This window comes from Homo sapiens, chromosome 12 (assembly GCF_000001405.40).
Source record: "Homo sapiens chromosome 12, GRCh38.p14 Primary Assembly".
Taxonomy (NCBI): Eukaryota; Metazoa; Chordata; class Mammalia; order Primates; family Hominidae; genus Homo; species Homo sapiens.
Window position 1 is genome coordinate 26,248,867 of NC_000012.12, and position 15,315 is coordinate 26,264,181.

Genomic DNA, 15,315 nt, shown 5'->3' on the forward strand with positions numbered 1-15,315 from the left:
TCCAGAGCTCCAAATAAATTAGATTTTAAAATTTCATTTTCACCTCAGATATATTTCCTTCATCTGAACAGACATTGGAAGCTAGCTCAATGATTAAAAATGTAAAAAATAATGGTAGACTGAAGTCCTACAACAATATCCGTGTTCCAATCCTTAGGATCCTGTAAATCAGTGGGCCCCAACCTTTTTGGCACCAGGGATCAGTTTTGTGGAAGACAGTTTTTCCATGGAGGGGGTAGAAGGGTCATGGTTTTGGGATGATTCTAACATACTATATTTATTGTGCACTTTATTTCTATTGTTATTACACTATAATAGATAATGAAATAATTATACCACTCAGCATAATGTAGAATCAGTGAGAGTGCTGAGCTTGTTTTCCTGCAACTAGATGGTCCCACCTGGGGGTGATGGGAGAGAGTGACAGATCATCAGGCATTAGATTCTCAAAAGGAGCACACAACCTAGATCCCTCACATGCACAGTTCACCATAAGGTTGGCGCTCCTATGAGAATCTAATGGTGCCACTGATCTGACATGAGGCAGAGCTCAGGCAGTAATGTGAGCAATGGGTAGCAGCTGTAAATACAGACGAAGCTTTGCTAGCTTGACTGCCGCTCACCTCCTTCTATGTGGCCTGGTTCCTAACAGGCCTAGGACCTGTACTGGTTTGTGGTCTGGGGGTTAGGGGCACCTGTAATGTTACCTTATGCTGTAAATGTTACCTTATATGGAAAAAAGGGACTTTGCAGACATGATTAAGTGAAGGATCTTGAAGTGGGGAGGTTATCCTGGACTACCCAGGAGGGCTCTAAGTGCAATCACATGTATCCTCATAAGAGAGACACAGAGGGAGTTTGACGCAGAAGAGGAGAAGGCAATCTGACCAGAGATTGGTGTGATGTGGCCACCAACCAAGGAATGCTGGCAGCCACCAGGAGCTGGAAGGGGCAAGAAGTGGATTTACCCCTAGAGGCTTTGGAAGATCTGCAGCCCTGTCAACTCACACCTGGTTTTCAGGGTGGTGAAATGAATTTCAGATTTGTGGACTATCAAACTACTACAGATAATTTCTGTTGTTTTTGGACATCCAGTTTGTGGTATTTGTTACAGCAATAGGAAATGCATACAAAAGCTATTCTGAATTAATGCTTACTGACACAGGAAGTGAAAAGGGTGGCGAGGGGGCAGAATTTTTAAAAAATGAGATAGCATGAAAATTATGTGCATTTCTACACCAAAGGAACAAACCCCAGTACTTGTTTCATTAGGTTTAGGGCATGTGTTTTTAAAGAAAAGCACATAATAGCTAGGTCATATTGGCTGGTAAGGTTTTAGTGCTAATCATATAGGAAGTGTTGACTTTTCACTTGTTGAAGGGACTACAAGCTCTGAAACCTTTTTTTTCTTTTTCCTTTTTTTTTTTTTTTTTTTTTGAGGCAGGGTCTCGCTCTCTTGCCAGGCTGTAGTGCAGTAGTGCAATCATGGCTCACTGCAGCCTCAACCTCCTTGGCTCAAGCTGTCTTCCCACCTCAGCCTCTCGAGTAGCTGGGACTACAGGTGCGTGTCATGATGCCAGGCTAACTTCTGTATTTTTTTGTAGAGATGAGGTCTTGCCATGTTGCCCAGGCTGGTCTTGAACTCATGAAGTCAAGCAATCTGACCACCTCAGCCTCCCAAAGTACTAGAATTATAGGCATGAGCCACTGCACCCACCTGAAATATTTTTTAAATAAGTCAACATAATACATGCAGATGATTAAAAAAAAATAGTGCAGGCAGATTTGGACTGAGCACTAATTGGCTAATTCTACGCTCCCAAACTTCCCAGCCCCACTCTTCATTGGAGGTAGTGCTTCTGATGGTTGTTTTCACAATTCCAAATAACATGATTATATCTCTATTATCAACTTTAGGTTGGGGGGAATTCCAATGACCTCTCTATTAAGAAAGATGAAGATTCAGCTCTGAGGTTTTCTAGCTGGATGCAGATTAAAATCACCTGAAGAGCTTTTAAAACATATCTATAACTTGTCCCCACCCCTATAAATTCTGACTTATTTTGTCTTGGGCGGGTTCTAAGTTATTAGTCATTTTTCAAGATATTCAGATGATTCTGCTGTGAAATCAAGGCTGAGAACTAACTTGGCTCGCATTCAACCCCTGAATTCCTTCCTTCCTTCCTCCTAACATTTACTAGTATTACATACTTTCTTCTTTTTTTGTCATTCTTACAAGTAGGTGTTTTTATGGTATTAATCTTTATTCAATTAATCTTTATTTTAGAAATATAGGCTGGGTGCGGTGGCTTATGCCTGTAATCCCAGCACTTTGGGAGGCCGAGGCAGGCAGATCACTTGAGGTCAGGAGATTGAGACCATCCTGGCCAAAATGGTGAAACCCTGTCTTTACTAAAAATACAAAAATTAGCTGGGCATGGTGGTGCGCACCTGTAGTCCCAGCTACTCGGGAGGCTGAAGCAGGAGAATTGCTTGAATTCAGGAGGTGGAGGTTGCAGTGAGCTGAGATCGCGCCACTGCACTCCAGCCTGGCGACAGAGTGATACTCTGTCTCAAAAAAAAAAAAAGAATATCATTAAATATCTATTTCTTGTCTGTAAACCTTGGATGCCATTTTCCTGATTCCTAACTGTAGTAGGCAGAATTCTAAGATGATCCCCCAAGTTTCTATCCCTTGATGTGCATACCTTGTGTAATCCTTTTCCTTTAAGTGTGGGCAGGGTCCGTTACTAATCAATTAAGTTTGAGTTAATCAACGGGAGGTGTCCTGGGTGGGCCTGACCTAATCAGGCGAGTCATTTAAAAGAAAGTGAAGCAACAGAGATGCTTTCCAGCTGGCCTGGAAGAAAGCAAACAGCCATGTCATGAACTGCCTCTGGAATATTCCATGAGGAACACCAATCTTACAACAACAAGGAGCTGAAAATCTACCACAGTCAGTGGGCTGGGAAGAGGGCCCCCACCTACGATTAGAGTGCAGCCCTGGCTGACTCCTTGATTGCAGCTTGGCAAGACATTGAGCAGAAAACCCAGCTGGTTCATGCCAAGACGTCTGACCCACGAAAACTAGGAGATAATGAGTGTTGTTTTAGGCTGCTAAGTTTGTGGTAATTTGTTATGTAGCAAGAGAAAGCTAAAATACTAGCCAAACAAGATGAAGATATCGTGACTCTTACTGTTCCCTTAATATCACTTCTCTGTTTCCTGAATCCTAGTTTCTATCCACTACACGTTTATTTTTATATTTTCAAGGATAATAATATTTACATTAGCCGGATGCGGTGTCTCACACCTATAATCCCAGCACATTGGGAGGCCAAGGCAGGCGGTTCACTTAAGGTCAGGAGTTCGAAACCAGCCTAGCCAACATGGTGAAGCCCTGTGTCTACTAAAAATACAAAAAAGTTAGCAGGGCGTGGTGGTGGGCAACTGTAATCCCAGCTACTAGGGAGGCTGAGGCAGGAGAATCTCTTGAACCTGGGAGGTGGAGGTTGCAGTGAGCAGAGATCATACCACTGCACTCCAGCCTGGGCGACATAGCAAGACTCCGTCTCAAAAAAAAAAAAATTTACATTCTGTTCTAAGATATGATAGTGCCATGGTTATGAGAAGGGTCTGTAGCAGACTGGCTTTGTTTGAACCTGGTTCTACTCACTTTAGCTGATTAAATTTGGTCAAGCAAGATACTCTATCTGTAGCTCAGTTTGTTCATCTGTATTTTACAGATGAAGAAAAATAGGTCCTACTTCATGGTGTTGTTGTGAGAAACAAATGAGTCCATGCATGTAAAGTGGTTAGAAGAGTGACTAGCCCATAATATTAATAGTAACTTAAGATTATGTTTATGCTTTTCATGATTGGACTATTAGTTTATTCTAAAACTTAAAAAGTAATAAATTGCGTTTACTTAAATGAGACTAAGTAAATTTCTTTATAGCAGTGCCAAATGGTGTGCTCATATTTAGTATCTTTATCTGCAGATCCATTGTCATGACTTCTGAGCTGTTTGAAAGAGAATGTTCTCAGAATCAAGGTAAAATGGATACTATTTTTTTCTTATACTTCATCAATCCTCAAAAATTTGCCATATTTTAGCTTATTTCAGATAGAACAATAACTTTTGTGTACAGATTTAAAATTTTATCTTCCTAACAAAAAATTATTTTATAATGCTTAAAAATCATCCAGTCTTTTAAGAATTCAAAAAATTCCAGGAATCTCCTCTCTCTCCGGAAATATCCCTCAGCTCCAATCTGGACTAGTTCTCTAAGCTGTGAAATGGCAGCCAACCTGAGATATTCTGGTAAATACTTGAACACTTTTTTTCTAGTGATCAGAAAAAAAAAAAAAAAGATAGTGGTATAAAGTACATTTTCCTGAAAACTTCTGTCAGTATGATAATCACAGATTGGAATAGTCTCATGAGGAAGTGGACCAGCTTTGAGGTCAAACACTCCTGAGTTCTAACCCCACCTCATCATTTCCTCACCAGGAGATCTTAGGCAAATAATGAACTTTTCAGAGCCTCAGTGTCATCTTTAGAATGATGATAACAGCACATGGCTGATAATTCTGAAGATGGCAAATTAAATGAGATAGTGAATGTAAGCCCTGTGCATGGTACCTGGTACATAGTAAATGCTTACTAAATGGGAGCTATAATCATTATTAGTCAATGACTGAAGCTAATCACCCTTTCAGCATTTACTTAACCCATTCAATAAGAATTATTTATTTTTAACTGGAATATAAAACACAAAAGAAAAAGCATACAAAATGCAAACATTCTGTTTAACCAATAATAGTAAAATGAACACATAGATGACAAATAAACAGGTTTAAAAAATCCATTGCTATCATCCCTCACTACCTCCCAACCCTTTACTTCTTCCCCATCAGAAATACTTCCTTGTACCTTAAGAGTGACAGTTATTTAATTCTGATTTTCTTAAACTTATATGGTAAATACTTCCATGCTATGTTTTTAGTTTTATTACCTAAAGATAAGCCATAGATGACTTATGAGTTGCCTAAGAAAGTTTGGTGTATTGATTTCATATTTATTGAGGGACATAGTGTGCAAAAACTGCACAGAAACTAATAAAGTGATATACTGTTTGCTCTTCAGCAGCTTATAGTGATGAAAAATAAAGCCATGCTCTGTTTCCAGCTTGTCTGATTCCCTTTTATGACATTTTCTTATGGAGCATACCAATATTTACTGAAAGCAAAAGTACGATTAGAAATTGTTCTTTTTAGAACTGTTTTCAAAGCCAACTTTGTGCTCACATCCCATGGCATGAAGAGAGAGGGAAATGGAAAGGGGCTTAACATTTATTTAGTACCTGCTACATGCTCAGCAATGTGCTAAAGTTTTTTTCCATTTTACTTGTTTGTTAACAACCATCTAATACGGTGGATATGATAAAGGAGAAAAAAATAGGTTTCTCTCTACCCTTAATAATTCTTAACTGGAACTCTCCATAACAAAATATACAGATTAACAAGACAAAAACAAACAGAAGCTTACTAACATGTATATCTCATATATACATTGGAGAAATCCAGATAAATGAGTAAATAAATCTCTAGAGTAGATCTCAAAGAAAGAGACTACTCCTGTGTCTTTAGTTTCTCTAAATAACCAGCTCAAAATAATCAATTTTCCAAATAGGCATATTTTGGGGGCTACAGTCATATTTTGGGGTCATGTGTCCTGAACCCCACCAATATCATTAACCCTATTTAACTTGTGAGGAAATTGAGATAATGAATAGAAAGTTGATACAATACAATCTTAAAAATGGTAATGGTAATTGGTGAGACCTCCATGTCACTACATCAGAAAAGTATAATAATTATAAATGTAAATGCACCTAACAATAGAGCCCCAACATGCATGAAAAAAATCTAATAGAATTAAAATAGAATTAGAAAACTCAACAATTATAGTTGGAGATTTCAATACCATTCTCAATAATTAATAGAAATGTTGAACAAAAAATTATCAGAAATATAGAAAACCTTATACTATCAACTAACTCAACCCAAGTGGCATATAGAAACATTCTATCCAACAACTGCGAATACACATTCTTTTCAAGCACACATGGTTAGACCATAATAGGCCATATGCTTGGCCCTAAAACAAGTCTCAATAAACTTAAGAGAATTAAGATTATACAAAGTATGCTCTCCAATCACAACAAAATTAGAAATCAACAACAAAAAGAAATCTCAGAAATTCCTAAATATTGGAAAATTACATAACATGCTTCTAAATAACTCATGGTTCAAAGAAGAAATCACAACGAAAATTAGAAAATATTTTAGCCAAAATATGCCAAAATTAAAGCAGTGCTTAGAGGCAAATTTATAGTTTTAAATGCCTGTATCAAGAAAGAAGAAAGCTGCAAATCAATAACCTAAGTTTTCACTTAAAGAAACTAAAAAATGAAAGGCAGTTGTGTTTTCTTTTAGTAATCAAGAAAACTGACAAACTATCAGCTAGACTGAACAAGAAAAAAAGAGAGAAGACACAAATTAACAGGTGAGGCCAAGATGGCTGACTAGAATTAGCGCCGCTTGGAGGTTCCCATAAAAAAAAAAAAACATGATAAGCATGTGAATCCTTCACCAGCAACCGAGGTATCCAGGTTCTCTCATCAAAATTGACTACAAGGCTGGCATGACCCATGGAGAGAAGGAGGAGCAGTGTGGTGCCACTTGAGACCCACATGGGGAAGAGGAACCCCCAACCCTAGTCAAGGGAGGTGGCAAGAGAGCTCATACCCAGCTGGGGAAACTGCTTTTTCCATGGAGCTGCACAACCCACAGATTGGAAGATCCCACTTGCAAACCCACACCTTTGGGGCCTAGTGTCCCAACCCTGGAATGCACAGATTCTTACAGCTTCTCAGCTGGAATCTGCTTAAGCCTACCAAATTCCCAGGGGAAGGGGTGACCATCACCAGATGGGGCTGCCTGCTGTCTAAGCCCTTTGAGCTTGGGGGAGGAGCAACAACCAGCACTGGGACTGGGAACTGCCTAACATGCTAAGCTCCCTGGGCAGGTGAAGGGCAGCACCCATTTCTATAGCTCCAGGCTGCGCTTTTCTCCTGCTGGAGCCAGGGAGGCTGGATGGCTTGTTCCCAGGACTTGTCCCTACAGTCCAACACATGGACTGTGGCAGTCTGTGGCCAGAGTGCCTCTTCAGGTCTAACCTTAACCCATCCTTTCTCAGTGGGTGGGGCTTCCCTGCAAGATCTCCAATAACTCTAGCCAGAGGCTCAGGGACAGAATTCAGATCTCCCTAGGCCTGAATCCCTAGCGGGAGGGGTTGTAGATCGGTCAGGGTGGTGGGAAAATTGTAGAAAGATGCAAACCTTCTTGGAAGGCTGGAAGGTTTTGCAAAAGCTTCAGAAGAGGGTTTGGCTGAAGGCAGCTGAATTATCTCAGAGTAGATAACAAGGAAGTGTAAGGGACTTGATCTAGATAAGTTAGTTTACTTAGGCCTCAGGCCTCAGAACTGACTACTCTCTGGGGGCAGGGGTGACCATGTGAATTGCCCACAAGTGTGTTGACTCAAGGCCTTTGTCATTAAATCTATACTGAATAAATGCCCGCAGCGCCAGCTGGTTGAGATGCGGCTGCTGACTGTTTACAGCACCCTCATCAGGGTCTGTGGGTGGCCAGGTCCCCTAGCCCACTCTTTCACTGGATATCTATGTCTGAGTGCTCTGTTCATCTGTCATTCGGCCAAGGTCTGTGGGTTGGACCTGGAAAGGGGTGGCCAAAGTCTTTGTGGACCAGCTGACTTAGCCTCTCCTCCTGGTAGTTCTGAGGAATCTGGGCAGCCCAAATGAGTGGGCTCCCCCCCAGCAAAACACACCCTCTCCACCAAGGGACAAAGAGCTTTGTTAAATGGGTCCTGGTCCCCATGCCACCCAACTGGATGAGACCCTCCAACAGGGGTTTTCAGACACCCTATATAGGAGTGATCCTACTGGCATCAGATTGGGGTCCCTCGAGGTCAGAGGTCCCAGAAGAAGGAGAAGGCACTCACCTTTGCTGCTCTCCAGCCTCCTTGAGTAACATCTCCAGGCATGGGAGTGAATCAGATGAATAAGGCCTGAAGTGAACCCCCAGTAAACTGCAGCAGCCCTACAGAAGACGGACCTGACTATTGAAAGAAAAACAAACAAGCAGAAGGTGACAACAGCAGCAGCAACAACAACAACAACAAAAAGGCCCCCACAAAAATCCCATCCAAGGGTCAGCAGCCTCAAAGACTGAAACTAGACAAACTCACGAAGCTGAGAAAGAATCAACATAAAAATTCTGAAAACCCAAAAGGCCAGACTGCCTCTTCTCCTCCAAATGATTGCAGTATCTCTCCATCAAGGGTGCAGAACTGGACGGAGGATCAGATGGATGAATTGACAGATGTAGGCCTCAGAAGATGAGTAATAAAAAACTATGATGAACTAAAGGAGCATGTTCTAACCCAATACAAAGAAGGTAAGAACCTTGATGAAAGTTTAGAGGAATTGCTAACAAGAATAACCAGTTTAGAGAGAAACATAAATGATCTGATGGAGCTGAAAAACACAGCATGAGAACTTCGTGAAGCTTACACAAGTATCAACAGCCGAATCCACTAAGTGGAAGAAAGGATATCAGAGTTTGAAGACAACCTTACTGAAATAAGACATGCAGACAAGAATAGAGAAAAAAGAATTAAAAGGAATGGAGAAAGCCTCCAAGAAACATGGGACTTTATAAAAAGACTGAACCTACGATTGGTTGGAGTACCAGAGGAGATGGGAGGAATGGAAACAAGCTGGAAAACACACTTCAGGATATTACCCTGGAGAACTTCCCCAACCTAGCAACACAGGCCAAAATGCAAATTCAGGAAATACAGAGAACACCATTGAGATACTCCACGAGACACATAATAATGAGATTCTCCAAGGTCAAAATGAGGGAAAAACTAAGGGCAGCCAGAGGGAAAGGCCAGGCCACCTACAAAGGGAAGCCCAACAAACAAACAGTGGACCTCTCAGCAGAAACCCTCAAGCCATAAGAGATTGGGGTATCAATATTCAACATTCTTAAAGAAAAGAATTTACAACCCAGAATTTCATATCCAGCCAAACTAAGCTTCATAAGCAAAGGAGAAATAAAATCCTTTCCAGACAAGCAAATGCTGAGGATTTTGTTACCACCAGGCCTGCCTTGCAAGAGCTCCTGAAAGAAGCACTAAATATGGAAAGGAAAAGCTGGTATTAGCCACTGCAAAAACACAAAATATAAAGACCAATGACACTATGAAGAAGCTGCATCAACTAGTGTGCAAAATAACCAAACAACATCATGACGACACGATCAAATTCACACATAACAATATCAACCTTAAATGTAAATGGGCTAAATGCCCAAATTAAAGACACAGACTGGCAAATTGGATTAAAGAGTCAAGACCCATCAGTGTGCTGTATTCAGCAGACCCATCTTACATGCAAAGACTCACACAGGCTCAAAATAAAGGGAGGGAGGAAAATTTAACAAGCAAATGGAAAGCAAAAAAAGCAGGGGTTGCAATCCTAGTCTCTGACAAAACAGACTTTAAACCAACAAAGATCAAAAAAGACGAAGAAGGGCATTACGTAATGGTAAAGGGATCAATGCAACAAGAAGAGCTAACTATTCTGAATATAAATGCATCCAATACAGCAGCACCCAGATTCATAAAACAGGTTCTTAGAGACCAACAAAGAGACAGACTCCCACACAATAATAGTGGGAGACTTTAACACCCCACTGTCAGTATTAGATCAATGAGACAGGAAATTAACAAGGATATTCAGGACTTGAATGTCGCTCTGGATCATGTGGACCTACTAGATGTCTACAGAACTCTCTACCCCAAATCAACAGAATATACATTCTTCTCAGTGCCACATGACACTTATTCTAAAATAGACCACATAATTGGAAGTAAAACACTCCTCAGCAAATGCAAAAGAACTGAAATAATAACAATCAGTCTCTCGGACCACAGTGCAATCAAATTAGAATTCAGGATTAAGACACTCACTCAAAACCACATAATTTCATGGAAATTGAGCAACCTGCTCCTGAATGACTCCTGGGTAAATAATGAAATTAAGGCAGAAATCAAGAAGTTCTTTGAAACCAATGAAAACAAAGAGACAAGTACCAGAATCTCTGGGACACAGGTAAAGCAGTGTTAAGAGGGAAATTTATAGCACTAAATGCCTACATCAGAAAGCTAGAAAGATCTCAAACTGACACCCTAACATCACTATTAAAAGACCTAGAAAGGCAAGAACAAATGAATCCAAAAGCTAGCAGAAGAGAAGAAATAAGCTAAGATCAGAGAATAATTGAAGGAGATAGAAACACGAAAAATCCTCCAAAAAATCAACGAATCCAGGAGCTGGGTTGTTTGTTAACAAACATGTTTGTTTGTTTGTTTGAGACGGAGTCTCATTCTGTCACCCAGGCTGGAGTGTAGTAGCATGATCTTGGCTTACCGCAACCTCGCCTCCTGAGTTCAAGCGATTCTCCTGCCTCAGCCTCCCGAGTAGCTGGGACTACAGGCGCAAGCCACCATGCCCAGCTAATTTTTTTGTATTTTTAGTAGAGACAGGGTTTCACTGTGTTAGCCAGGATGGTCTCAATCTCCTGATCTCGTGATCTGCCCGCCTTGGCCTCCCAAAATGCTGGGATTACAGGCATGAGCCACCGCGCCTGGCTGTTCTTTGTTTTTGTTTTTTTTTTAATTAACAAAATAGACCATTAGCTAGACTAATAAAGAGGAAGAAGGAGAAGAATCAAACAGAAACAATAAAAAATGATAAAGGGGATATCACACTGACCCCACAGAAATACAAACTACCATCAGAGAATACTATAAACACCTCTATGTAAATAAATTAGAAAATCTAGAACAAATGGATAAACTCCTGGACGCATACGCCCTACCAAGACTAAACCAGGAAGTAGCTGAATCCCTGAACAGAATAATAACAATCTCTGAAATTGAGGCAGTAATTAATAGCCTACCAACCAAAGAAAGCCCAGGACCAGATGGATTCACAGCTGAATTCTACCAGGAATACAAAGAGGAGCTGGTAACATTCCTTCTGAAACTATTCCAAACAATTGAAAAGGAGGGGCTTCTCCCTAACTCATTTTATGAAGACAGCATCATCCTGATACCAAAATTGGGAAGAGACACAACAAAAAAAGAAAACTTCAGGGCAATATCCCTGATGAACATTGATGCAAAAATCCTCAATAAAATACTGGCAAACTGAATCCAGCAGCACATCAAAAAACTTATCCACCATGATCAAGTCAGCTTCATCCCTGGGATTCAAGGCTGGTTCAACTTAGGCACATCAATAAAAGTAATCCATCACATAAATGGAACCAATGACAAAAACCACATGATTATCTCAATAGATGCACAAAAGGCCTTTGATAAACTTCAGCATCCCTTCCTGTTAAAAACTCTCAATAAACTAGGTATTGATGGAACATATCTCAAAATAATAAGAGCTATTGATGACAAACCCACAGCCAATATCATATTGAGTGGGCAAAAGCTGGGGGCATTCCCTTTGAAACTGGTATAAGACAAGGATGCCCTCTCTCACCACACCTATTCAACATCATAGTATTGGAAGTTCTGGCCAGGGTAATCAGGCAAGAGAAAGAAATAAAGCATATTCAAATAGGAATAGAGGAAGTAAAACTGTCTGTTTGCAGACAACATGATCCTATATCTAGAAAACCCCATTGTCTCGGCCCAAAAACTCCTTAAGCTGATAAGCAAATTTAGCAAAGTCTCAGGATACAAAATCAATGTGCAAAAATCACAAGCATTCCTATATACCAACAATAGAGACGCACAGAGCCAAATCATAATGAACTCCCATTCACAATCACTACAAAGACAATAAAATACCTAGGAATACACCTAACAAGGGATGTGAAGGACCTCTTCAAGGAGAACAACAAACTACTGCTCAAGGAAATAAGAGAGGACACAAACAAATGGAAAAACATTCCATCCTCATGGATAGGAAAAATCAAAATTATGAAAATTGCCATACTGCCCAAAGTAATTTATAGATTCAATGCTATACCCATCAAACTACCGTTGACATTCTTCACAGAATTAGAAAAAACTACTTTAAATTTCATATGGAATCAAAGAAGACCCTGTATAGCCAAGACAATTCTAAGCAAAAAGAACAAAGCTGGAGGCATCATGCTACCTGACTTCAGACTATACTACAAGGCGACAGTAACCAAAATAGCATGATACTGGTACCAAAACAGACATATAGACCAATGGAGTAGAACAGACACCTCAGAAATAACAGCACACATCTACAACCATCTAATCTTCAACAAACCTGACAAAAACAAGCAATGGGGAAAGGATCTCCTATTCAGTAAATGGTGCTGGGAAAACTGGCTAGCTATATGCAGAAAATAGAAACTGGACCCTTTCCTTACACCCTATACATTAACTCAAGATGGATTAAAGAGTTATATGTAAACCCCAAAACCATAAAAAACCCTAGAAGAAAACCTAGGCAATACCATTCAGGACACAGCTATAGGCAAAGACTTCATGAGAAAAATGTGAAAAGCAATTGCAAAAAAAGCCAAAATTGACAAATCGGATCTAATTAAACTAAAAAGCTTCTGCACAGCAAAATAAACTATCATTAGAGTGAACAGGCAACCTACAGAATGGGAGAAAATTTTGGCAATCTACCCATCTGAGAAGGGTCTAATATCCAGAATTTACAAGGAACTTAAATATATTTACAAGAAAAAGACAAACAACCCCATCAAAAAGCAGGCAAAAGATATGAACAGACACTTCTTAAAAGAAGACATTTATGCAGCTAATAAGCATGAAAAAAAGCTCAACATCACGGATAATCACAGAAATGTAAATAAAAACCACAATGAGATACCAAATCACACCAGTCAGAATGATGATTATTAAAACGTCAGGAAATAATAAATGCTGGTGAGGCTATGGAGAAATAGGAACGCTTTTACACTGTTGGTGGGAATGTAAATTAGTTCAATCATTGTGGAAGACAGTATGGAGATTCCTTAAGGATCTAGAACCAGAAATACCACTTGACCCAGCAATCCCATTACTGGGGATATACCCAAAGGAATATAAATCATTCTGCTATAAAGACACATGCACACATATGTTTATTGCAGCACTATTTACAACAGCAAAGACATGGAGCCAACCCAAATGCCCATCAATGATAGACTGGATAAAGAAAATATGGTACAGATATACCATGGCATACTATGCAGCCATAAAAAGGAATGAGATCATGGCCTTTGCAGGGATATGGATGAAGCTGGAAGCCATCATCCTTAGCAAACTAACACAGGAACAGAAAACCAAACACTGCATGCTCTCACTCATAAGTGGGAGTTGAACATAGAACACATGGGCACAGAGAGGGGAACAACACACACCAGGGCCTATTGGGGGGTGGGGGGTAAGGTGTGAGGGGAAGGAACTTAGAGGATGGGTCAATAGGTGCAGTAAACCACCAAGGCTCACATATACCTATGTAACAAACCTGCACATTCTGCCCATGTATCCTTTTTTTTTTAGAATAAATAAAGAAAAAAATTTAAAAAGACACAAATTACCAAAATAAAAAATCAAAGGATTGTAAGGGATATTATTAATAACTTTATTCCAATAACTTAGGAAACTTATATGAAAAGAACACATTTCCAAAAAGTCGCAATTAACACATTTGACCCAGGAAGAAATAGAAAATTTGAGTAGGCATATAATAAATAAATAAAGTAAATTAGTTATTAAAAATCCTCCCACAAAGACAAACCCAGGCCCAGATAGCTTTACTGGTGAATTCTATCTAATATTTAAAGACGTATTGTCAGTCCTTAACAAATTTGTTTAGGAAGTAAAGGAGGGAACACTTCCTAATTCATTCTATGAGACCAGTATTTCCCTAGTACCAAAGCCAAACAAAGACCTCACAAGAAAAGGAAACTATAGACAAATAGCCTTCATGAACACAGACATAATAATTACTACCACAATATTATCAAATTAAATCCAGCAACATATAAAATGAATTATACACCAAGACAAAGTATCCCAGAGTTATCAAAAGTTTATCCCAGGAATGCAAAGTTGCTTTCTGATCTGAAAATCAACCTAAAACAGGAAGGACAAATACCACAATGCCCATCTCGATAGATACATAAAAAGCATTTGACAAAATCTAATATCCATTTATGATTAAAAACTCTCAACAAATTAAGAATAAACAAGAAAAAACAAACAATTCCATGAAAAACAAAACAACCCCATTAAAAAGTGGGAAAAGGACATGAACAGGCACTTCTCAAAAGAAGACATTCATGCAGCCAACAAACATATGAAAAAAGCTCAACATCACTGATCATTTGATTGCAAATCAAAACCAGTGAGATACCATCTCACACCAGTCAGAATGGCGATTATTAAAAAGTCAAGAAACAACAGATGCTGGCAAGGTTGCAGAGAAATAGGAATGCTTTTACACTGTTTGTGGGAATGTAAATTAGTTCAGCCATTGTGGAAGATGGCATGGTGATTCCTCAAGGAACTAAAACCAGAAATACCATTTGACCCAGCAATCCCATTACTGGGGATATACCCAAAGGAATATAAATCATTCTATTACAAAGATATATGGGCACATATGTTCATTGCAGCACTATTCACAATAGCAAAGACATGGAATCAACCCAAATGCCCATCAATGACAGACTGGATAAAGAAAATGTGGTACATATACACCATGACATAGTATGCAGCCATAAAAAGGAATGAGATCATGTCCTTTGCAGGGACATGGGTGGAGCTGGAAACCATTGTCCTTAGCAAACTAACGCAGGAACAGAAAACAAGACACCCTATGTTCTCACTTATAAGTGGGAGCTGAACAATGAGAACACATGGGAAGGGGAACAACACACACTGGGTCCTGTTGGCGGGTGGGTTGCAGGGAAGGAGAGCATTAGGAAAAATAGCTAATGCATGCTGGGCTTAATACCTAGGTGATGGGTTGATAGGTGCAGCAAATCACCATGGCACATGTTTAGCTAAGTAAAAAATCTGCACATCCTGCACATGTGCCCTAGAACTTAAAAGAAAAATTAAAAGAAAAAACAAAAGAGTAGAAGGGA

At 39.6% G+C, this 15,315-nt stretch overlaps 2 long non-coding RNA genes across 9 annotated transcripts in view, besides 1 other annotated feature; one reads left to right on the forward strand and one right to left on the reverse strand.

Moving 5' to 3' along the window:
- The window catches only part of SSPN-AS1 (SSPN antisense RNA 1), a 60,672-nt gene that overhangs the window by 37,711 nt on the left and 7,646 nt on the right, over positions 1–15,315 (reverse strand). The window lies entirely within an intron of this gene.
- Positions 1,730–1,899: an enhancer, noted in NCBI's record as "experimental_26902 CRE fragment used in MPRA reporter constructs". NCBI's record gives its function as "activates a minimal promoter by MPRAs in K562 erythroleukemia cells, with activity observed for both the introgressed and non-introgressed 12:26403614 variant alleles {active_cell/tissue: K562}" and the evidence as "EXISTENCE:reporter gene assay evidence [ECO:0000049][PMID:34662402]".
- LOC105369705 (uncharacterized) overlaps positions 4,006–15,315 on the forward strand; it is a 57,584-nt gene continuing 46,274 nt past the window's right edge. For all 3 annotated transcript variants that reach the window (XR_007063249.1, XR_931451.3, XR_931452.3), the window contains exon 1: positions 4,006–4,054. This is a non-coding gene — a long non-coding RNA (uncharacterized LOC105369705). The remainder of the gene's footprint in view (positions 4,055–15,315) is intronic.